This window comes from Homo sapiens, chromosome X (assembly GCF_000001405.40).
Source record: "Homo sapiens chromosome X, GRCh38.p14 Primary Assembly".
Classification (NCBI taxonomy): domain Eukaryota; kingdom Metazoa; phylum Chordata; class Mammalia; order Primates; family Hominidae; genus Homo; species Homo sapiens.
Genome location: NC_000023.11, coordinates 38085823 through 38110540, shown reverse-complemented (window position 1 = coordinate 38110540; position 24718 = coordinate 38085823). Strand labels below are relative to the sequence as shown.

Sequence of the window (24718 nt, the reverse complement as noted above, 5' to 3'; positions counted from 1 at the left end):
CAATTTCGCTCATAACTTGTCTCATTGCATAACTGACTAATCTGAGAGCATTTCCTACCTTGGGTTGAAGCACAAACCACTCATCAGTTGGATTTTCAAAGTTCCATGAGTCAAAAGGAATCTCTACTTCCCCGAGGAAGCTATTACGTCCAAATCGATCATAGTGCCAGACTGAGAGCTGCAGAGTTCTTGTTTCCAGCTGGGTATGGCTGATAGTGTACTGCGAATGAGATTTACAACATTACACTCCACAAGGAGGGCTCTATCCAATTCCAGGAGAGGTCGAAATTTACTTCCAACATCTTTCAGATCATATGCATCAGTAATATGAACAAAACAAACACAAAGAAAACTCTTTGTTTTTCTTTGTTTCTGCTACAATTGAAGTTCTATGCCATAAACTCATTTTGTGCCAGACTTTGCATTGAAAGATATATAAACAAATTATCTGAGGTAGAGATAAACTCCATATACTGCATAAAAAGTGTTAGGTGATGAAGCTTATCCTCTTTCCAGTTTTATTGGTTTTTCATTTTCCTTAATTATTTTTTCATACCTACTTTGTAAGCTCAAGGTTTAATATATACATTCTCCACCTTCTCTCTTATTTTATTCATAATGAGAATCCCCAAATCCAGAAAAGGATTGACAATGAGAAACTCGCAAACACCAAATTTTATAAAGTCCAGCCTAAGTGCAGAGGTGAAAAGGTGTACATGTATATTAAACAGAAAGAAGATATTGCTGGGCTAGCATTTTTTTTGTTTTTTGTAACAACATCATCCAGGGCCACATGCTCACACACCCTCCAGCCTTCTGCTTGTTCTATGCAACCACCATCTGGGACACACTTCACACTGACTGATTCCTGATCTTGGATTAGTGCCTATTCTTGTCTTTGCTGTTACTGTCATAATTAACCTTGGCTCCCTGCTTCCTAAATTTACCCTCTCACTGTGTTTGGGCTCATCTTTCCTATCCTGTTATGGCCATTGAATTTACTCTCTACCTGTATTTATTCATTTTTCAGTTTGTTCTGTCTTAATATTAGTTCCTGCTTCCACACACGCTCCCACTGACACATGCAGGCTTGTGGCTTTCTGCCTTTACCAATTTCCTCCTAAAGTGGACTCTGACACCATCACTCTGGGGCACAAGCCCATAAATTTCCATAGAATTGGCAATAACTTCTGCTTTCCATCCTCCCTGGGTGTTTCTTACCAGGCCAGATTGTTCCATAGCAAGAGAAGGGGTTAATTATGTGAAAGCGCATTGGAAAGAGATTTCTATTTTCTGGATCATTGACCTGGATTGGGCCATATTTTATCTAGGCTACTTTTGCTGAGATTTCTCAAATCTGGCTCTGCATTTCCACTATTCATTAACCACATACCTACATTTGGTCAAATTCTGAAATCCTAACAACAAACAGTATAGACCTATGCTATGTTAGCAGAACAATGAATGCGTGCAAAGTGACTCATTAAGTAGTGTCAAAACTGTGACAAGCTTCTTTTACGGAAGTCAGAAAAAGCACTGTTTGCCCAAAGGTAAAACCGATTTTTTAGCAAGAAGCATCAGCACCGATGCAGTTTGGCTGGATCCTCTCTACTCAAGGTTCAAATTCAGTAGCAGCGTAGACTTAAATAGAGTAAGAGTGTTTTCTTTTTCTCAAAAGATGTTAGAAAAGTCAAGGTTATTATGTTAATTTATTCAAATTCTAATTTTCTAAAACATATACAAGCCTTGACACACAAATAAAATATTCTCTGTAGTTACTTCTAAACCATTGAAGTTGTGAACAGTACCACATGAGTTACTATGAGACCGTATTTATTTACCTTTAGTGTTTCATTGAATTCTGGATTGGTGCCTGTTCTGATTTTGGTCTTACGCTTGTTGTTCCGGGACTTGTCAGGAAGAAGATATGACTTGACATAACTATAGATAAGAAAATATAAATGTAATTATTGTGAAACATCTATTTGCAAGAAATGTTCAAAGACTTCGCTGTGAATAAAAGGGGCAAAGGGCCAGTGAGCATGAGCGGAAATACCAAAGAGAATTTTGTCTATATAACAGGATACCTTAAAATAGAACACTGGGCCTTCCGTAAGAGAGAAGTGGTAAAGTATAATGATAAAAGAGTGTGGGTTCTGAAGTCAAGCCACCTGGTTTTGAATCACTCCATGCCTCAGAGATTTGGTGACCTCAAGAATTTACTAAATAACCACTCTGTGCCTCAGTTTCTTCATCTGTAAAACTGGGAAAATAACACTGTCTAACTGATGGCCTTGTGAGGATTAAATTAGTTGACACATCCAAGGAGCTACCATATTGTACTACTCAATACATGTAATACACTATTAATATTAATGGTCTCACAAATTTTTCTGGGATTAGATGCTTCTCTATTACTAGTCTTGCCTTCTGATGTCAGAGAGTGGGGTCAATGGTAATGGGTGAGTAAAAGAAAACAGTGAAAAAGGCAAAATAAAAAATAACAACCTGAAGTAGTGATAGCAATTCTACCCAACACTTTAGCTTGAGCTATCTCAGGAGCCTCTTGAAGCAGGGTATCACAGCAGACTCAGAAATGTACAAGATGTGTACAAAGCTGAAATGTATAAGATGCTACCAAAGTTCTACAGAATATCTGTTGAGTTTTAGAAGACCCCTTTCCATGCCAGTCAAAATAATTACATTGGTCCTGTAGCCCTCTGAAATGTAGCTGAGGAGGCAGGTGGACCAATCTGTAGTCAAAATCCACTCATTTGTCTATCTTAGGGGATTTGGAACCAGGTTCACTGAGTTATTTATTGGACTTAGGTCATCTATTGTGCAGAAAAGAGTTAACATAGTGGGCCTGAGACTACCATTCTTCTAAATGCCTGCTTACAAATTTGGCCCTTGGGTGGCATCTGGCAACTTGGATTTCAGGATTCCCACCATTCCCAGAACTGATAAAAGTGGCTCGTTGTTCCTAAATTGTTTGTACAAACAATATGGCTTATGCTGAACGGGTTCTTTTTCTCCTGAGAGACTGGAAATTTGGTATGTGACCAGCTGAGTTTCTAACACGCTTCCTTGGCAGACAACATTTCACAGATGTTGTCAGAACTCATCGCCAGAGGAATTAAATGCATCCTATGTGACTCCACTGGGAAAGGACCCTTGCAAAGCTTGAGCCTGATCTCTCCTGGACTTTGCCCCATGTGCCTCTTTGCTGATTATAACTGCGTGCAGAGTCCTAAGTCCTCCTAGTGAATCACTGAACCTGGCAGTGGTCTTGAGAACCCCTGACACACCTTTATATCTAGCTTCTCTCCAGTGTGCTATGGTCCATACCTGCCCTCCCAGGCTGATCTCTAGAATCCTGAGAGCCTCATAATTGCCCTTTTGAGTTGTTTAATTGGGTAACAGTTTGGTAATTTTCTCTGGAGGATTTCCCAGAACAGAAATCGACAAGATGCTTTTGTACATCCTGGGTGTGCCAACATGTCAGCATTCTACTTCAAAGAGCTGCCTCTGTGTAAATTGCAAATATGTCAATCCTGAATTATGTTTTAAAAATCAGTTAATCAAAGACACAACCAGTATACATTTGCTTCAGAGAATATTTAAAAGTGTGGTATAGGAGGAACATGACAATCAACTCTCTGAGAAGACTGAATCAAGAAGAATGCTAAGACTCTTTTGAAAAGGAAACACACATACAGACAAAAAAGGCAGTGACTGAAATAGTCTGAGGAACATGCTATGTGCTTACGCATCTGTCCTCTGTTTCTTTTCATCTCCTATGGCCAGATTTCTGCAATTCTTGACAAAAATGTACAGCCCACCAGTTTTGTAGCAGTAGCTGATATGGAGAAGGATTTCACCACTGACTTTCACGTTGCCATAGTCTCCCGTTTCACTGTAAACGCTCATCATGCTGTTAAGGCTGGTCTGGAATAAACAAGATGGAAAAAGGCTTCTAGTGTCATTCTAATGATCTCTTCACAGAATCAACTCATTTCATTCAATTATAGTTCCTGTTCTTTATAATGAGCATGGAAGTCTAGGGTGAGGAAAGAAAACAAGAGTCACTTGTTTGGCTGGTGTTGTATAAAATCCCAGCTGGAGAAAAGACAGCAGATCTAGTACCATCAGGAAAAAAGGCAGAAAATTTGCTTAGAGGGGAAGCATTTCCTTCTTGGGTTAGAGAATACCCTTTGCTTACTCACTTCTACTAATGAATACAGGGTAATTGAGGCATTTCAAATCTCACTTCTCGTCTATCTCTGCAGCTTTCTCCATTTTCACTGTTAGACTCAAGTTCAATCTACTATAAGGTGTAGAATACATTGATTGGGACAAAGGGTAGCTTATCTCATATTCTGTGCTAGCAGGAGCCACATACTGCTTTCTTTGACACCTACATGGAGCATCCCATCAGTCTCCGGGGAGCCATAACTACAGCTTTAACAAGGACATATCAGAAGAACATCACATACCCACAGCTTCCATGATTTCCCTCAACTGAGTAGCTAGCTGTGTGGCTACATGAGTAGTATATGACCATGGCTTTGTAAATCTGTATAAAGTAGCAGCCCACAAAATAAACTACTACACAATAAAATCACACACCAACCAATCAGGAAAATAAATTTTAAAAAAGTCCAAATCTACCAGAATGAATGAGGCTTTTGACAAGACACTAATGACATGAGACAGCTTTTAATTTATAGTAGTCCCCCTTATCCACAGTTTCACTTTCTGTAGTTTCAGCTACCCATGGTCAACTGCGGTTCAAAAATATTAAATGGAAAACTCCAGAAACAAAAAATTCATAAGTTTTAAATTGTATGCTGTTTTGAGTATGTGAAAGGAAAATATCTTGGGCACCCAAAATCAGAAAGCTAAAGGAAAAAGTCAAGCTGGGAACTTCTTAGAGCAAACCTGCCTCCCATACTACTCAAAGTCATCCCCCTGCTCACTGAGATAAGTGCATATCTAACTGCCTCCTTTGGAGAGGCTACTCAGAAACTCAAAAGAATGCAACCATTTGTCTCTTATCTACCTATGACCTGGAAGCTCCCTCCCCACTTCGTGTTGTCACGCCTTTCCAGACCCAACCAGTGTTCATCTTACATATGTTGATTGATGTCTTATGTCTCCCTAAAATGTATAAAACAAAACTGCGCTCTGAGCACCTTGGGCACACGTTGGCAGGACTTCCTGAGGCTGTGTCAGGGGTGCCGGTCCTCAACCGTGGCAAAATAAACTTTCTAAATTAACTGAGACATGCCTCAGAGTTTTGGGGTTCACAAGTAGCATGATGAACTCTCACATCATACTGCTCCATCCCACCCTGGATGTGAAGCCTCCCTTTGTCCAGTTGGACACACTGTAGGAGCCACACTGCAGATGCTACTTGCCCATTAGTCACTTAGCTGTCTCAGTTATCAGATTGACTGTCCTGCTATCACAGAGCTTGTGTTCAACTCATTCTTATTTTACTTAATAATGACTCCACAGTGTAAGAGTAATGATGGTAGTAATTTACATATGTCAAAGAGAAGCCAAAAGTGCTTTCTTTAAGTGAAAATGTGACCTTGGTGTTTCTTGGCTAGGGTTTGGTACTACGCGAGGTTTTAGGCATCCACTGGGGTAGGTGGAATGTATCCTCTGTGGATAAAGGTGACTACTGTAAATGTAATAAAATTATCCTTTGGCACTAGAAATGAAAACTATGTATCTCAGTAACTGTCACAAAAGACCACCTGGAGGTCTTTCGTGGATGACCCAATAGTTTCAAAACCACTTTTCTGTGAACCACTGGGAAGTCAAGACTATGGTAAATACACAGGGACCTTAGACTGTCTTCTTTTTCATAATTTGCTTTTGGTAAAAGCCATTATGTTCCACCAATTTCTGGAAGTAGAGACTGACCAAAGAACAGGATGTGGGTGATGTGGTCACATGTCTTCTAAGCTTCTTCACGGGCAAGAGCAGACCAATAATTCCATAATTATTTGGAAATTACAGCTTAAAGAAAGCCAGTGAGTGACCTAATCTGTCTTTCTTATTCCTAAAACAAAGCAACAGAATTTTCATGTTTAGCAGGTGGCTTTGAGCAGCACCCAGATACCTTTTTAAACTGAAAACGCTTATCTCCTCAGTCTGGGGTGAGGTCTGAGATTTGGCTGTTCTAACAAACTCCTAGGCCTGCAGTTCCGAAACTGTGTATCGAGGTACCACAGAGCACCACAGCAAACTCACAGGGGAATCACAGAAATATTTTAAATTCTCAAGGGAAACACAACAACACCTATCAGACACCATGTAAGCCACTAACTAGTAATTCACAGTGTCAACTTTAAACCACACTTTATTCTTTTCAATGAACTCCTATTTGTCTGAAGCTGAGTTTTTGGCAGTTGCTGCAACAAAAAGCAAGTATTGCATAAAAATCAATGTGAAATGGGAAATGAAAGTAGTGATGTCCAATCAGATTCCAAGATTTGGTAACTGTGTAGTGCTCAATAGGCACACATATCCTATTAGTGGTAAGTAATAGGTGCTATTTAAGGATGAAATAAAAATACTATTTTTCTTTCAATTTCTTTCACTTGTAGCATTTTTTTACAAATGGCTAGTAAGTTGTTAGGATACACTGCTTATTACATTATTTGGTTCTAACTACTTAATGAATGGACTAGTCAGGTGCTACTTTTAGTGTAGGAGTGCCAGGAAAGAATTACTGAGACATTAGGGGCTTTTTGAACTGAGAAAGTTTTGGGGTATCTGTTCCGAGAGATGCAATGTTGCTGGTCCATAGAGAATGCTTTGAGTATCAAAGGTTTCAAGAATAAACCCCAACCTACTCATGTTACAAATGAGAAAATTCTGGCTCACAAAAATTGTTGGTATGGCCAAGAAATAAAGCAAGATCTCCAAGTTTCTAGTCTGAGGACTACCCCACCATACCTGATTACCTCCTTATATCACTGATTTGTGTCTATACTAGATCTCTGTAGCCACATTTTCAAAGAAAATCCTCTGTAAGCAGAGGGCCCCTACGGATAGAAGGAAATTTAGGAACCCACAAATACGGAGGCTTGTGAGAAACTAAGACACCTATGGCAATTTTACTACTAACTAAACTATATGCTCTTAACCAAGCTAAGGCTGTGATTTAAAATAGTTGTTTACTTCAAAGGTTTTGTTGATAGTTAATCATTTTAGAGCATGTGTCTTTTGAGTGGTGTTCAGATTCCAATGTTTAATGAATTGGAATACTTGGTTTCTGATCATCTCATCAATCTTTTAGAAGATAACCTCTGGTTAATTGTATATAAGTCGGAAAAAGATAAATGTGGGACAAATTGCTTAATCATAGTTCCCAGACCATGAAATTTGTGAAGTATGGTTGGAAAGAACAAAAAGGAAAGGTTGAAAACTCACAGTGTCTGAGTCAGCATCAGGCACATTTAGGTAGGTCCACTTCCTGTCAGAACCTGCTTGAGAACTCTTTAGAGAAGTCATCCAAAGATCAAAAGAAAAAAAGCATCAGAGCAACAGAAATCAGAGAAGCCAAGAAAAAGACTTACACACAGTTAGATACAAGGACACAGGGCCTTCCTCTCAAAAAAGGCCTTGAACACTAAAGTAAGAAAGGACTTTATTTTGTAGGCAGTGGGAAGCTATGGATGGGTTTTGAGTAGAAGACAGACCTGATTGGGCATGTGTTTTAGGATAAATGACTGGCAGCAGTCTGGAGGACAGCTGGGAAGTTTAGAGAATGGTGTCAGGGAAATGTGTCAGCAGATAATTGAAAAATAATTTATAGGCTTGAGCTGACTGAGCCTGAACTAGGGAGTGAGGAGATTTTAAAACCTGGGTGAGGACTGTGGAAGAAGGAAGAAATCAGGAGCCTGAGAAAAAACCCACACCAAATTAGACTGAAATGTACTCTGTGGGCAAAGGGCAAGCAGGATCTTACAATGACTTTTAACTCATTATCACACATTTTCCTAAGAACATTCATATCTCCTTTGGAAATGCACAGAAAATCAAAAAGAGGGAAAAGAAACTTTCCACATGTCCTAGTGAACTGCTTACAGTTGATAGGCCACTTGCCAGACGGTGAGTGTTTGTAGATAACTGCGAGGACACTAAGGCATCAATGCTTTCTTCAGTCTCTTCCAAGGAGTCCTAAAAAAGAAAGGGAAAAATCAGTGGGTTGGTTGATTTGTTTTTCTAGAATGTTTTTTCACTTGAGAAACCACTTTCTTTCATAAATATTTGAGAATCAGATAAAAAATTTCTAGAAATCACTCCATTCCTAGGTTTTTCTCTTTTCCTCTCCGGTCAATCTGAATTATACCATCGGAGAAGTGGGCAGGGATAGGGGGTGGAGAGTGAGGTCTCCTTTCTAATGGTGCTTACTTTATTGAAAGAACATGAAATTTGGAATCATACAGACCTGGGTTCAATTCCTACCTCTAAGGTGATTCATGTTGGGCAATGTACTTACGTTACTTTAAAATTAAAAAAAATTTGTGTGTGTGTGCAAACACACACACACACACTGCCAAGATGGTAAAGCATATCTCAAAAATCTCTCCACTAGGATGAACTAGATACTGGACTCTCATCTCCAATCCCAGATTCTACTTTTCCTTTCCCATTTCTTTTTCTCCTTCATGATAAAATGGCTTTTTTTTTTTTTGCCTAGTTATTTAAGTGATGTATTTTCCTAGTAAAATTATTTCAAGCAATATAGATAAATGGAAACTAAAAACTTAGGTCTCTCATTAACATATTAATGATCAAATTTCAATATTTTTGATTATATCATCACATATATATATACACACACACATACATATATACACACACACACATACATATATACACATAGATAGATTGTATCATGCATACTGCTTTTTATTATGGGCACTTTTCTTTTTTGCTTCTCCTCTCCTCCTTCCCCTCCTTTCACACCAGGTGAAATTAATATTTAGCATCCTGCTGCACATGTTACATTCCATGTCTTTCTCCTTGTTTATGTGAAAAATCATATAAAAACATACACAAATCTGAGTATAAGTATACATTCATGGGAATTTTTTTAACTATAGTTTTATAAATCAGGATTATGATGTACACTTCTGGGCTTGCTTTAAAAAAGTCTTTATTATAAGATACAGCATATTAAAAAGTACATAAAACATAGATATATAGTATAATAACAAAATCAAATGATGAAGCAGAAGCTCCCTGTGTATCCTGTCCATATCACAAGCCCCTTCTCCCCTCGGGAATAATTAATATTTTAACTCTTATGGTTAACCACATTCTTGCTTTTATTTATAGTTTAACTGCATAAGCGTATACTCTGAAACAAAATGATTTCGTTTTGCCTGTTTTTGTACTTTGTGTAAATGTAATTAAATGCTATATATTCCTTTGAGTTTTGCTTTTTTTGCTTAATATTGCCTTAAAATTCATCAAAATTGTGGCATATTTTTGTAGCCTGTTCATTTATATTGTCATTTAATATTCCATTGTATGATATCCAAAACTTTATCCATTCTCTTGTTGCTGAATATTTGGGTTATTTTCAGATTTTTTTCTATTGTGACCAACACTGATATGTATATTCTGTGAATATGTATCCTGGCGCATATACACACACCACAGTATACACACAACACAGTATATATGTTCACACACTTGAATATATACCAGTGAGAGGAATTGTCAAGTCAAGGGGTGAACATATCTCCACGTGCTTATCTATATCATTTTAAAGATAATGTCAAATTTTCAGAAGTAGTTACACCAATTTACAGTCTAACCAGTAGTATATGAGAGTTCCCTTTGCTCCACTTCCTTGCCTGCAAACAGATGGTATTGTTAGATATTTTTTTCATTTTTGCCAATCCAGTAGATGTTTACAGTCTTCATGATTTTAATTTTCATTTCTCTTATTACTAAGTTGAATACCATTTTGTGATAATCAGCCAACTGGATTTCCTGTTTTGTGAAATACTTGTTCAAAATTTGCTTATTTTTATATTGGTTTATGGTAAGTTGTCACTTAACGTCATCCATAGGTTCTTGAAAACTGTAATTTTAAGTGAAAGGATGTGCAGCAGGTCCTCAAATAATGTCATTTCATTAAAACATTGATGAGGAAAAAAATGGTTTTGTTATATGTCATTTTGCTGAAAGTGGCAGTTTCCAAGAATCTGTTGATGATGTTAAATGAGAACTTATTGTAGCTGCCTTTTTCTCACTGATGAGCCCACAAGATGAGCTGGAATATCTTGTAGAATAGCATCTTGTAAGAAAGTGCTGGCTTCATGGATGAATTCTTCTGAACATCTGAGGAAGAATTAATGCCAATTCCTGTCAAATTCTTCCAAAAATTGAAGAGGAGGGAACACTTCCAAACTAATTTTATGAAGCCAGCATTACTCTGATAGCAAAGTCAGACAAGGATACTACCAAAAAAAGGGAAAATTGCAGGCCAATATCCATGATAAACCATAGATGCAAAAGTCCTCATCAAAATGCTAGCAAACTGAATTCAACAGCACATGAAGAAGCTCATTCAACCTAAGTGGGATTTATCCTTGGAATGCAAGGATGGTTTAACATAAACAAATCAATAGTTGTGATAAACTGCATTAGCAGAATGAAGGATAAAACCCATATGATCATCTCAATAGATGCAGAAAAGGCACTTGACAAAATCAACATCTTTTCATACTAAAAACTCAACAAATGAGATAAAGAAAAAATTTACCTCAACATAAAACCATACATGAGAAGCTCTTAGCTAACATTATACCCAACATTGAAAAGCTAAAACCATTTCCTCTAAGATCAGAAACAATACAGTATGCCCACTCTTACCAATTCTACTCCATATAGTGCTGGATGTCCTAGCCAGAGCAATTAAACAGGTAAAAGAAATAAAAGGCATCTAAATTGGAAAGGAAGAAGTAAAATTGTCTGTTTGCAGATGACATGATTTTATATATAGAACACTCTAAAAACTTCAGCAAAAAGCTGCCGAAACTAATAAGCTCTTTAATTCTGAAAAAATGCATCCCTATTATCCCTATTATTTTTTCAAATTGCCCCTTTTCTATATTTTTATGTTTTGCTCTTTCTTGGTATACAATTACCCAGTAGTCATCACATAAAGTACCAGTCTTCATGTTTCTTTACTTTCTTTTCAAAAGTGGATATTAAAAAATTCAAACATTCACAAAATAGAAAGCATAGCATAATGAACCCTTATAACTGATTACCTAGTTTTAACAATTATCACTTTTCCAGCTATTTTCCTTGCTGCTAATTTTTTCTCCCACAACTTTATAGAGGTATGACTTACATACCATAAAATTTACCTATTGTATGCATGTAATTCCGTGATTTTTAGCAAATTTATAGTTGAGCAAACTTCAATATAATCCAGTTTTAGTACATTTTCAACCCAATAAGCTCCCCCATGCCTGTTTGCAGTCAGTCCCTACTTCTTCACTCCCTGGCAACCATTAATCTGCTTTAATTTCTCTATCAATTTTCCTTTCATTGACATTTCATATAAATGTAATTATATGATATGTAGTTTTGCCTGGTTTCTTTCATTTAGCATAATATTTTCAAGGTTCATGCATGTTGTAGTATGTGTCAGTACTTCATTTCTTTTTATTTCTGAATAATATATCATTGTATTCCATCTATTCACCAGATATTATTATTTTCACTTTTTGGCTATTATAACCATTCGCGTGTAAGTCTTTATGTGGACATATGTTTTCATTTCTCTTGGGTAGATACCTAGGATCAAAATTGCTATGTCATATAGTAAATTTATGTTTAACTTTTAAAGAAATTGCCAAACTCTTTTACGGAATGGCTGTAGGTAGCATTTTTCATTACCACTAGCAATGTAGGGGGGTTCCAATTTCTCCGCATCCTCATCAACACTTATTATTATGTCTTTTTAATCACACCCATTCAAGGGGGTGTGAAGTGGTATCTCATTGTGATTTTAATTTTCATTTCTCTGATAACTAATGTTGCTGAACATATTTTAATGCAGCTATTAGGCATTTGTAAATCTTCTTGATTAAATGTCTATCCAAATCTTTTTCCCATTATCTAATATGATTATTTGTCTTTTTAATATTGAATGTAAGGGTTTTAAGAAATATATTCTAGATACAAGTCCTTTAACAAATATATAATTTGAAAATACTTTTCCAGTCTGTGGCTTGACTTTTCACATCTGTAGTGGTGTCTTTTGAAGTGTAAACATTTTTCATTTTGATGAAATTTAATTTACCAGTTTTTTTTCTTGAATACATGCATCATGCTTTCAGTGCCATATTTAAGAATTCTTTGCCTAACTGAAAGTCATGGAGATTTTCTCCTAGGTTTTCTTTTAGAATTTTATGGTTTCTGTTCTTACATTTAGGTTTATAATCCATTTTGCGTTGCTTAATTTCTGCATGGTATATGTTAAGAGTCAAAGTTCTTTTATGTTTTGTGGTATTTGGATATCCTGTTGTCCCAGTATGATTTGTTGAAAAGGTTATTCTTTCCCCACTGAAGTACCAAAAATCAATTGGCCATAAAGTTTTTTTTTTTTTTCTGGAATCTCAATTCTATTCCACTGATTGCCAATGCTTATGCCAATACTGTGTTGTACTGATAGCTATAACTGTAGAGTAAGTTTTTAAATCTAGTAGTATAAGTCTTCCAACTTTGCTCTTTAAAATTGATTTTGTTATTCTGGGTCCCATATATTTTCATATAAATGGTAGAATAATAATTTCTATTTCTACAAAATTATCCTGCTTGTATTTTGATTGGGCTTGCATTGTCTACAAATTTATTTGGAGAGAATTTCCATCTTAAAAATATTGAATCTTCTAATCCATTAACACAGAATATGTTTCTACTTATTTATGTCTCCTTTAATTCAGAAATATTTTTGTTAATTTCAATGCACATGTATTACACTTTTAAAAATGAATTTATTCCTTACTTTTGAAAAATATTTTTCATGCTATTATGAATGGAATTATATTCTTAATTTCATTTTCCAATTGATCATTGCTAGTATATATAAATACAGTTGATTTTTGTATATTGATCTTATCTCCTGCAACCTTGCTGAACTTGTTTATCAGTTCTAGTCATATTTTTGTAGATCCTTTAGTATCTTCTACATACAGAATCATGTCATTTTCTTCTTTAGTATATTGATATAAATTATGCTGACAAATATTCTTATATAGACTCATTCTTCCACCCATACTTAGCATAAAACTTACTTATTGCTATTTTTATTCACTGCTAGATTTTAATTGATATTATATTTAAAGTTTTGCATGTATATTCGTAAACTAGTTTGACTTGTAGTTTTATTTTTCAAACTATTTTAAAAATCAAGTCTGAGTGTCAAGATTATACTGGCTGCATACAATGAATGAAAAGATTTCAATGGTTTTCTAAGATCACGAATAGTTTAATAGTTTAATAATGTTGGAATTAGTAATTCTTTAAAGGTTGAACATGAGTAAACTTTGAAATAATTTAATCTCACTGCCCATCTCTCTTTTGGAGGTAGATTTTAAAGTATTTTCCCAGTTTTTTGTACTATAGAAAATATTATTTCATTTTAGAACTCTAAGTTTCCTAGTGTGCTTTGGAAAAACTATCAATACCATTTTACATTTGTGTTCTATTTCTTCCAAGGAGTCCGTATTTTATTATAGCAATTACAGAAATCTGAATATCAGAATATTAGACTGGGAAATAACCTTTACAATAATCTAATTTAACCTTCTCATTCTAGAAATGAGTTCACTGAAACATTAATTTTCACATAATTTTGTCTCAGTTTAGAAGTGAATTTATTGGTGGTAACTTGAGATATAGCAATGTTGATATAAATATGTAATCAGATATTTCTAATAATATTTGGCTAAGGAAAATGTTAGGATCTCTCATTTCCCAGGTTTAGATTAAGTGATAAGACTTTAGCCAGAAATTGAAATCTCCAACATGTGTTTTCTTAGACATAACCTTCACTCATTAACATGATTACCCATTATATTTTCTAAGTTATTCTTTCGGTTTTTATGTGTTGACTGTGAAGACTAACAGGAAGAGATGATTGTATATCCTCTCTTTACTCTCAACTCATCATCACCTAAAAGTGAAACCACTTGGAGCAAGATTATGCCCTTATTTCCTCCTCTTCATTATATTTTCTTCCACATCCAACTTACCTTGTCTAAAGCCCCAGGGACAGACTTGCTTCTTATGCTTACAGTATCCTCTGAGTCTTCTGTAAATGACTCACTCAAATCTAACTCAGATCGACTCTGATCTGGAAGGTGGAAAGGAAAAAGAAAGACGTGAGTCAGCCTGTTTTGTGAGAAGATTTCATTTTTTATTCCAAGTGTTTCACCTTTATTTCAATTCTTTTTAGGCACAGATCATAAATAGTGCCATGAAAGCAACAGTCGGAGTCAGTAACTTCATGCTGTTTATGATAACATACTTCTATTTTTAATAATATTTTGGTAATTGCCTTGGACCGAATTACACTTAGGTGTTCATGTTTCCTTCTATCACAGGAGGTTAAATGTTCTACTGTAAAATGCTATGTTTTAAGCTGTTTAAGGCAACTGCTTTGCTCCTAGACTTTAAAAAACTCTCTTAGAATGGGCCCTTAAATTTAGAAAAAAAAACATTAACAATTCTTGCTTGCAATATTTAGAGAATTCACTGTGTTTTCAGATTTGACATAAAATGCAATGCAACCTATTCTAAACTGCCACTTTGAAGTGATATAGCAAGTTCTTTTCACACAAAAATGAGAGGCTATAGATGCAATGAGAGGAAGTTCTATTTCTTAATGGACCAGAAGAGTCTTTCATCAGAAGAACACCTTGTTTTCACTTTTTGAAAATATAAGTTACAGAGCAATGCACCTCTTAGTAATGCTTTGGACAGCTTACCAAGTCAGGACAGCTTATTTCCACAAAATAGTTCTATACCAAAGCACTACTGAGATCAATATAGTTACTTATAAATGAGAAAGATTGGAGAGAGTAATCAAGTACTTAAGTTTGAATTGATGAAAAAAATAATGCAGAAGTACTTAGCATAGGCCTGACACAGAGTACGTACTCAATTAACAGGAGCTGTTGAGTAGAAGTAGTAGTAGTAGACCCTATGATGTTGGTTTCTAAACTAGTTTAAAAATTTAATTAACAGGTGAACAGCTTTTTTACTCCTGAGCAAAATGTAGCAATAACCACACACATTTAGAAAATCCTTTGGGAGCTGGCTGGCTAGAAGAGACCCCTCAGTTCAGCAAACAGAATCCTGCCTTAGGCTTTATGCATATATAATCATTAGGTTACAGGTAGCTTTTTAATGTTGAAGACTGCATCATGATTTTTATTCCATGTATGGGACATAAGCTTCAAAATTATGACAAATTTCTCCGAAGAATTTTCTTAGTCATAGCTATTAACATTTCAAAATGAATAATAGCTGCTTCAGAGGACTGTTGTGATAATGAAGTAAAATGACATATTTGAGTGTACCATGCAAATGAAAGGGGTAATTATTAATACTTTAGTGCTGCTTGCAAATAACTTCTTATTTAAACCACAGAATGATTTTCTTTTGTCTATATGTAGGGAACTTCTGACTACTATATCAATTGAACTACCATTTCCTTGAACTCTGAGCAAGCATTCTTATCTGTTATAGCAAATGTATCCTGGAATAATTTATATTTCCTTCATTCAAATATTGATATTCTGATGTAGCACTGAAACTCAGTGATGATACCTGGCAAGAGTATGTACTAAATAAATGGAATTTTCATGAATGTAAGGTGCCCAAAGCTTTACCTGGGTCTATCTTCAAGCAGTTCTTATGGAGTGGCCTACCACCATAGGTCAAAGAAGGGAATGCTTATTTTTTAAAGGATGAAACATCCACTTAATACCACACATAGCAGTCAATTCCATTTGATTTAGTCATTTTAAACAACAAAGTAGGCACATTGTAAATACCCACCTGAGGAGAGAGAGGTTCCAGACACTGCTATGGAAGGTGTGCCAGAAGTGTTTCTGCGGTGACTCTTTGTGAGCTCCTGAGAGGTACCTTCAATAGCAGCCAAATCCATGGAATTTTCAAAACCATACTCCTTCCCACAAAGTAAAAATGAGAAAAAAATTATACTGACTGTAATTTACTATAAAATTCATCTACATAAATATACTTCAGTATAAACACCTTTATATGTATTATTATTTAGGAGGAGCTAATTGACATTTGAAGGACCCTCACCAGGAGTCCATGTAACTTCAAAATTTACCATCAATAATTGCTATCCAAAATCCATTCCAAGAGGTTTGTTAATTAGTGCAAAAGGTATCCGGACAATTTCTCATTCCCCAAATCAATGAGTGTTCTAATATATGATTAATAAGGAAGATTATACAGGTACCCTCAATCTTACATGAGGGATGTATAATAATCTGTCAAGATTCACACTCTCAGAGTAGCACTCAAGCTTAGAACTCTGTTTGGTCCTATTTTGTTCCCTCTTTCAACATACCCTCTCTTCAACCATCCCTTACCTCTTCCACCCCCATTTAACAGGATGTCATGTACCTTTTCCATCTAGAAGGCTGGCTGGTCAGAATATGGGTGGTTACATCTATTTTGGAATGACTTTCATGCATGGTACTTACCAATGTTCATAAAAAAATAAAGAGAGAAAACTTCCCAAGCTCACAGGAATAGTTATTTTTTTTGTGTGGTGTCTGCTTGTTAATAAATGCTTGTACATGTGGTAGAATTCAGTCTGGGACTTGCATTTATTGTAACATATGGTAAAGAAAATTCTGTCCCGACTTCGCCCATGACCATAGACCCAACTTTGTCTGTGACCTTTGCCCTGCCATAGACCAAGGCAGGGCTTGACTGCTGCCTCATCCGAAGCTTTCTTGAGTGTTAAAACAACAACTATAACAAATTTTGGACCTTTCCAGAACTGGGCTGAGGTTAAGTGTCCATTCAAATTACATCATGGTATGATAATGATCAAATCTAAAACAGATTTTTCAATTCTCCCTTCTGTAAACAATCAAAAAGTGCCTTTTGAAATCCTAGAGGAATAATTCCCTCCTTGTTGCCCATCTCTTAGACATTCAGGGACACTCTGATGAACTCATTACAGTGAAATGTGGCTTTCACTTGCTTAATATGCTAATTGATTCAGCTTCAATTTAGACTGTTTTTAGTATCTTATTATTCTCCAACACATAATACCTGTAGCTGGAGGTATATAGCTCCTAACTTCCTCTAATTGCCATAAACAAGAAAAGTTTATCAGGAGTGTGACAGAGGTCAAACTGATAAATTAGTTTAGGTCAATTTTCAACACCTCTTCAAAAAGTTGTTCACACATGGAGTCCTTTAATGAAGCAAGACCAAGTTCCTTGGAGGCAATTATGTTAATGGCAAGTTTTCCCACAGGTGATCTGTGAGTATCATTAGTATTGAGCACTAATAGGCCAATTAATATTGCACTGTCATTAACAAGCAATACATACCCTGGAGGTTCAGGGTGTCAAGCCTAAAATTAATAGGTTGCATCATAGTAGAGGACAGGTTAGAGACTTTCATGCTCTAAAAGTTTTCTGTGATGGTTAATATTAGGTGTATACTTGATTGGGTTGAGGGATGCCTAGATGGCTGATAAAGTATTATTCTGGGTGCGTCTGTAAGGGTGTTGCTGGAGGAGACTGACATTGGAGTCAGTGGACTGAGAGAGGAAGACCTACTCTCAGTGTGGAGTGGGCAACATCCAATCAGCTGCCAGTGTGGCTAGAACAAAGCACACGAAAGAACAGGGAAAAGCGGCTTGTTTGCTGAGTCTGCTCACTCTTTCTCTTCCCAAGCTGCACCAGACACTTGGCTTCCCCTCCTCCTGCCTTTGGACATCAGACTCCGGGTTCTTCAGCCTTTAGACTCTGTGACTTGCACCAGCAGCCTCCCAGGGGCTCTTGGGCTTTCAGCTTCAGACTAGGGCTGCATTGTCGGCCTCCCTGGTTTTGAGGCATTCAGACTTGGATTGAGCCATCCTACTGTCTTCTCTCTTTCCGCAGCTTGCAGACAGCCTATCGTGGGATGTTGTCTTATAATCGTGTGAGCAAATTCTCCCTAATAAACTCCCTTATATATATGTTATCAGTTCTATCCCTGTGGAGATCCCTGACTAATATATTTTCTTTCATGCTAGAGCAGAAAAGAACATTGAAACAAAGAGATGCTAAGAAATGGGAGAAACTGAGTTGTTACCTTGCTCATCATCTAATGCTATATACTTGCCATCTAATGCTATATACTTCCCTTTTAATGAAAGAGCAAATGTACTTCATAAACTACTGTGCTGTCTTATTTTTATTCAATAGAAAGTACTTCTCTTTGTTTCTTTTTTTCTCTTAGAAAAGACCAGCTTAGACCAGCTAGATTGCAAGAATGAGATCAGCATAGGCACTGCCTATGTATATGTATATATACTCTACTAAATTGCAGGGAATTTCTGTTGCAGAGATCTAGGTGCTGTTTAACAAAGAAATACACAAGTAGGGGCTGTTAGTTTTGAGGGTATTAGCACATGAAAAGGGTGATTTCCCCCCTAATAATCTCAAATTGTACGTAGAAAGATAAACCTTGTTGTGAGAATAAACTTGATTAACTTATTGGTCATTGGACTGATTGTCAGCTGCTACCCACTGGGACAACTGTACTAGATGTTAAATTTTTAAAAATACTTCTGTGTCAGTTAATAAACAGCACTACTCCCAGTCCACCTCCCACTTCCCTGTGCTCCCTCTCATCTATAAGCCCAGGTTTCCCCATAATTCAGGTTTAGTGCATGACATAGAAGGGCCCCCGCATACTGCCCCAGCCTTGTGCCAGTGTCTGTTGTGATTTCTCAACATCCCTGCCAGACTGGTCACTAAGTGGTTTGAATATCATTCCTTTTTAGATTCCAAGAGGTGAGTGTATTCGTCAACTATCCATGCACCTTTCTAGCTATTGAACAGAAATGGCTTGCTGACCTTAGCATAAATATTTATGAAGTTTTAAATATGCCTTTTATCTTCACAACTACAATTTAGACTATAGATGTTTAAATAAATCTATTACTGTTTTTCAGTCTGTCTGAATGCTTTAACGGAATTTGACTACTCGCCACCTCCACTATCTCTTTGTTTCAAAACCCAATCTCTCACATGGGGTATGACAATGGCTTACTGATTGCTTTTCTGGCTTTCACTCTTGTTCTCCTACAGCTGCTTCTCAGCACAGCCCCCAAATCCTGCTTAAAGATAAGGCAGATTGTGTTACTCTTCTGCTCTAAAACCTCCAGTTTCCCCCATCTTAATCAGAGTGAATGCTGACTGCACACAGCACTCTTCAAGGCTCTATCCAGCCCTATGACCTCTTTGGATTCATTTCCTAGTTCACTTTGCCTCATTCATTCACCACAGCTGCATTGGCCTCCTTCCTCTTCCTTGAACATACCCGGTGTGCTCCCACCTCAGGGGCTCCACACTGGCTGTTCTTCTAGAGGCATTAAAAATATTTTAGAAACTGGCTGAGCAAGGGCACTGACCAATCAAGATGGAGGCCAGCTACAAGGAAGTAGAGCAGCCTTCCCTGCATGTACCTGCTGAATATCAGTGCTGTCTCTGCGTGGTGGAACACCTTGCCCCAGAAAACTACATTGCTAATTCTTTCACTTCCTTCAAGTCTTTGCTTGACTAGAGCCTGTCATATAGTAGGTTCTCATTAAATGTTGGTTGAGTCAAATAATTGTTTGTATTGTATGAACTCACTGCTCATATAAAGATTTATCAAATATAGATGCCAGCAATGTGGATGGAGCTTCCTGCTAAATAAAAAAATCTCACAAATGCTAATTCATTCCAAATATAACTTCCAACAGAATATTTAATAAAAGAGAATATTTTTCCCCAAATACTTTTTTCATATTCTCTTTTAAAAGAGAAAACCAGTAGAAAATATAATTGATCACATATAAATATAAAATGCAATTTAAGCCTTCATTATGTGTTGACCCCTATGTTAACAGATGTATAGAAAAGAAAATAAAAATTTCTACTTTAAAAACTAGATAAAAGTTCTACTTTTCCAGATTTAAATCAGTTTGGAAAAATTTGTGCACTCAACCTATGAATATTTTCTCTAAGAAGTAACAGAGAGGATCAAAATCAGAGCCTTCTAAAATGTTTTATATTTATTTAAGCCATATAGCAATTTAAAACTCCATCATACAAGTGCTACCTTTGAACCTGGTCTTTCTCTTCCCTTTTTCATTTTGGGTTTCCTGCCAGGAGCTAAGATGCAGGAGGTTCAGTCCTGATGAAGCTTCTACCTTTCAGCAGCATAAAGAACATGCTCTGATACAAACAGAGTTGAAACCTAGCCATGCTGCAGTGGTGAGGTTGAATTTCAGAGACTGGGTGTCTGATATGGTTTGGCTCTATGTCCCTACCCAAATCTCATCTCAAACTGTAATCCCCACAATCTCCACGTGTTGAGGGAGGGACCTGGTGGCGGATGATTAGTGAGTCATGGGGGAGGCTTCCCCTGTGCTGTTCTCATGATGGTGAGTTCTCACGAGATTTGATGGTTTTATAAGTGTTTGACAGACTCCTTCTGCCATGATTGTAAGTTTCCTGAGGTCTCTGCAGCCATGCAGAACTGTGAGTCAATTAAATCTCTTTTGTTTATAAATTACCCAATCTCTGGCAGTTCTTTATAGCAGTGTGAGAATGAACTAATACGGTGTTCATCAGGTTTGTGTACTTACTCTACTGATGACTGAGGTCACAGTTCGTGTGCTTGGGGCTGGTGAACTCTGAGTGCCTGGGGTCACACCATTGCTCCGACTGCTCTTCGGGGTCCTAGGACCAGGTTCCTGGTCATTGAGATCTGATGAGCCAGTGCTTCCCCTAAATGAGAAAGCATATTCTGACTTTAACATGGAAGCAGAGCAGCAACCAAATACACAGGCAGAGTAAAGCTGATGAGGAAACTGATAAGAACATATGAACCGCACTGAGTTCACAAGAGTCACACTGGAACTGCTTAGAAACTATCATGTTACCTTCCTCCTCAAAGGCCCTGAGGGGATCACTAGGTTTGTCCCCATTTGCCCCACAGTAATTAAACTTCACCCCATCTTTCTGATTTTGTTTCCTTCTGCTTACCAGCATTCTCTCAGCCAGTCTGGGTTCCTTACCATTTTCTCAGCTCACCATCTTGACTTCCACCTCCTGAGGCCTTTGCTTACCTTGTCTCCACTTGTTATGCCCTCTTAACCACTCTCTGTCTATACACATCTTTCTCAGTCTTCAAGGGCAAATGAAGTCCAGCCTTCCCCATTAGGCCTTTCCTGTCAAGCATAAGCCTTGTCAACCTCTGTTCCACTCAATTCCTATTGACTTACGGTCTTTGCCAGACTACTGTATTTAGTATTTGACTGCAAAATGTCTTGTTTGGCTCCCTAATGGATCCACATATGTGAGCTTGGGTGTTTCATTAAACTATGAACTCCTTGGGAACAGAGTCCATGCCATAATTGTCATGTATCTCCAGCAGCTTTGTAGTGCCTTAGTACAAAGAAGCCACTCAGTACATATTTAATCAAAGATTAGAAGTTATATTTCATTTCTCTGTGTTGTTTTAGTGTCTAATTCATGGTGCACATTTAATAAATGTGGTACAAAAATAATGACATTTGGTAAATGTGCTTGAATCACTTTCATGTGTGCTAAAACTATTCAATTCAATCCAATAACAATAAATGAAAAAGTGGTTCCTGCCCTTGAGGTGTTCACAATTTTCTTATTAAATGAGCTTCATAAGTCAACATAAATTTTGACAAGTCGGAGTTTAAGAGAAGTGTTTGTTCCCATTTTATTCTTTTCCCTCAGTGGGCACAAAATATGCTAAGTGGTAAAATAGAAGCCCTTATGAGTTTTACTCTCTCAGTTACTGTCTTAATGAGTTACAAATGCACATATAATAGTACACATCTTATTGGTAAAGCATACCAGCAGTGGTTAATAGTGATGAGGACTTACAGTTGAGCCAATAAGAGGAAAGGTTAAATAGAATAAAGGAATATTTTTTAAAAGAATGTTTAAATGTGCACATATCATTACTAGAAGATAAATCAGGCAGAAGAATAGGCAATGACCATTGGATAGAACTGTCAACCACAACTCCTAAGTTTTTTCAAAGCTGTGCACCAGAGAAGTCACCAAAACCAAATTTCTTTTGGACCACATTACCAGCTACCACCACCTTCAATAATCATGAATAGCAGTGGCATTTACTTAGTATCTTCTAGGTGTTAGCCATTTTCCATCCCCCAATATCCTTGTAAAATATGTTTTAGAATATTATTTAATATTTTTAAATGAAGAAATTGAGTATTGGAGAGGTTAATTATTCCATACATGTATGCATGTACACAAACACACATGCATACACACACCGACATACCACTATGCTATCATAGAGTTAGCATGTGATAAAATCAGCATAAAAACAGTATTGTCAGTCTACCCAAAGCCTGTGACCATTCTAGTTTCTCATACTGCTTACTCATCATTTCACTAAGAACAAATCATTCCAGCCAGGCAGGTTTTGCATTTATAGAATGAACTATCAAACAGAAGTTAATCAAAGGAGCAAAGAGCTAGGAATTAGTTTCTTGGGACTTGATTAAGAGAATTATGAAAATTTTCTATGTTACTAAAGAGTGGTTACTAAAGGGTGGCTTTTCTTTTTTACTAAACAGTCTCTGCAGAAAGGATCTCTGGCTTCCTCTTTGTAGAAATAGCAGTCTAAGTAAATTACAGTGCTATGAACTCAGCTGAGAAGATCTCTAAGACTGTGCCTGTTGATTCTGACAAGAGAGTAAAATTTTGTGATTAAGTAAATTGATACACTTTGGAATTCTAATTTCTTTGGTGATTTTCCTGAACCCTTCTACCTGAAGCATGACATTTCTACATTTGACAACAGTTAGCCATATTTGTACCCTTCCAAGTATTCTGCTCATCTCAGAGGTTCTACTTAGGAGAGGCATAGAGACTTTCCCATTGATGCTGTACTGTGACCATAGGTTCTTTAGAACAATGTTAACACAGAAATATGTCTCCCTACTGTTTCAGGTAAAATATCCTTTAAAAAGAAAGGGCAGGGGTCAATCTTGCAGAAATGACCCAAGAAGTTATGAACCAAAGGGACTCATGTGGGTGTTTCTGCTTGTGTGTGTGCGGAAGGTCCTCCCAGAGCCAGGTGGTTTTGAGAAACGCCCCATCATGGATTAGCCTTGCTGAAACCAAAAGTGCTACTTATGTAGAAGCTCTGGCAGAAGTTGATTAATTGTGGTGATGACATTCAAGAAGTTATCCTGTAATAAGGAAAAAATTCTTGTGATTGTAAGTCAGCTACTGCAAATTATCATTGCCAGCAGCATTATCTCAAAAATGACATAGAATTTCACATTTGTCCCTGACATTTACTGTGAGCTTCTCAAAAAATTTTTTCCAGTTGATTAAACTCAAAAAAGGTTTAGTCTAATAAGGCATATTATCATAAATATTTGTGTGCCAACTCATTTAGAAGGTATGTAAAATATGACATAAAATACACGAATCTTTGCCACTTAAATTGGAAAATGATAAAAGCTATGTCAAGTCAAAATTAAAGTTGTGAAGTGTAAAGGTCAACTAAGAAAAAGCTATTTTTTAATCCAGCTATAATGTTACTCAGATTTAAATAAGAAGTATGATAAATCAGTGCCAACAAACCTTCAAGCTAAAATGTGGTTAAGTAAAAACCGGCAAGAAAGAGATACATTTATCTCACTGTAAAAGGCCCAAATGTGGGGATATGTCACTGTCTGGGAGTTTGGATATTCTGGGTTGCTGAAAGACACATTTTCCAGATTAGGAAAAAGTTTAATTTACTTTACCTTATGAAATATACTTTAAAAGCCTTCTGTTTTGTTATCTCTAATTCCATGGGTAGGGGAAACACATCTGACAGCAATCATTTCAGTATACTCTTACAATGACCCTGTGTGGCAGATGCATCTGAATGTTTGTTCCAAGCTAGGGAATCCAGGAGTGGCCAGCCCTGAGGTTTGTTTCTTACCTATGAAAAACATCTGAGCCCCTGGCCCTTCTCATGGAACATGGGCCATACCGGGGATTGAGGCCCTGAGTTTTGGGTTAAATGAAGGTTTCCAGGTGGAGGTCGTTTAGGGGGAAGGTTTTAAGTGAAAATGCTATATAAACTGCATTGTTATTTGCAAGCGGTTATGGTTTTCCTGCCCAGCCCACCACTGCTGGACTCTGTCCCCTGTGTGTAAGATGCTAATAAAATTGTATGTCTCGTTTGCTGGCTCTGAGTCTCTTGAACCTGGCAGTTTCCCTATTGAGGTTAATAGGGGTTCAGCACAGCACCATGTTGCTCCAAAATCTTGATAACAGCTTCCCAGATACATCCATTTCTAGACAGAGGATCCAAGGATAGGGGGTAGAGATTACAATGTAAT

The 24718-nt window shown here is 36.8% G+C and overlaps 1 protein-coding gene across 28 annotated transcripts in view, besides 2 other annotated features; it reads right to left on the bottom strand.

Annotated features, from left to right (window-relative positions):
* The window catches only part of SYTL5 (synaptotagmin like 5), a 239906-nt gene that overhangs the window by 18280 nt on the left and 196908 nt on the right, over positions 1-24718 (bottom strand). For 17 of the 28 annotated variants that reach the window (XM_047442658.1, XM_047442654.1, XM_047442663.1 and 14 more), the window contains 7 exons: positions 20954-21095; positions 16117-16246; positions 14307-14407; positions 8107-8199; positions 3770-3948; positions 1842-1941; positions 59-220 (listed from right to left, as the gene is read on the bottom strand). In XM_047442658.1, the coding sequence (XP_047298614.1) occupies positions 59-220; positions 1842-1941; positions 3770-3948; positions 8107-8199; positions 14307-14407; positions 16117-16246; positions 20954-21095 (907 nt within the window). Of the gene's footprint in view, positions 1-58; positions 221-1841; positions 1942-3769; positions 3949-7449; positions 7516-8106; positions 8200-14306; positions 14408-16116; positions 16247-20953; positions 21096-24718 lie in introns of all 28 variants that reach the window. The other 11 variants (XM_017029972.1, XM_011544001.3, XM_017029974.2 and 8 more) reach the window with 2 other exon arrangements.
* Positions 6009-6078: an enhancer, noted in NCBI's record as "active region_29521". NCBI's record gives its function as "activates an Ori minimal core promoter by ATAC-STARR-seq in GM12878 lymphoblastoid cells {active_cell/tissue: GM12878}" and the evidence as "EXISTENCE:reporter gene assay evidence [ECO:0000049][PMID:35858748]".
* Positions 6189-6358: a silencer, noted in NCBI's record as "silent region_20734". NCBI's record gives its function as "represses an Ori minimal core promoter by ATAC-STARR-seq in GM12878 lymphoblastoid cells {active_cell/tissue: GM12878}" and the evidence as "EXISTENCE:reporter gene assay evidence [ECO:0000049][PMID:35858748]".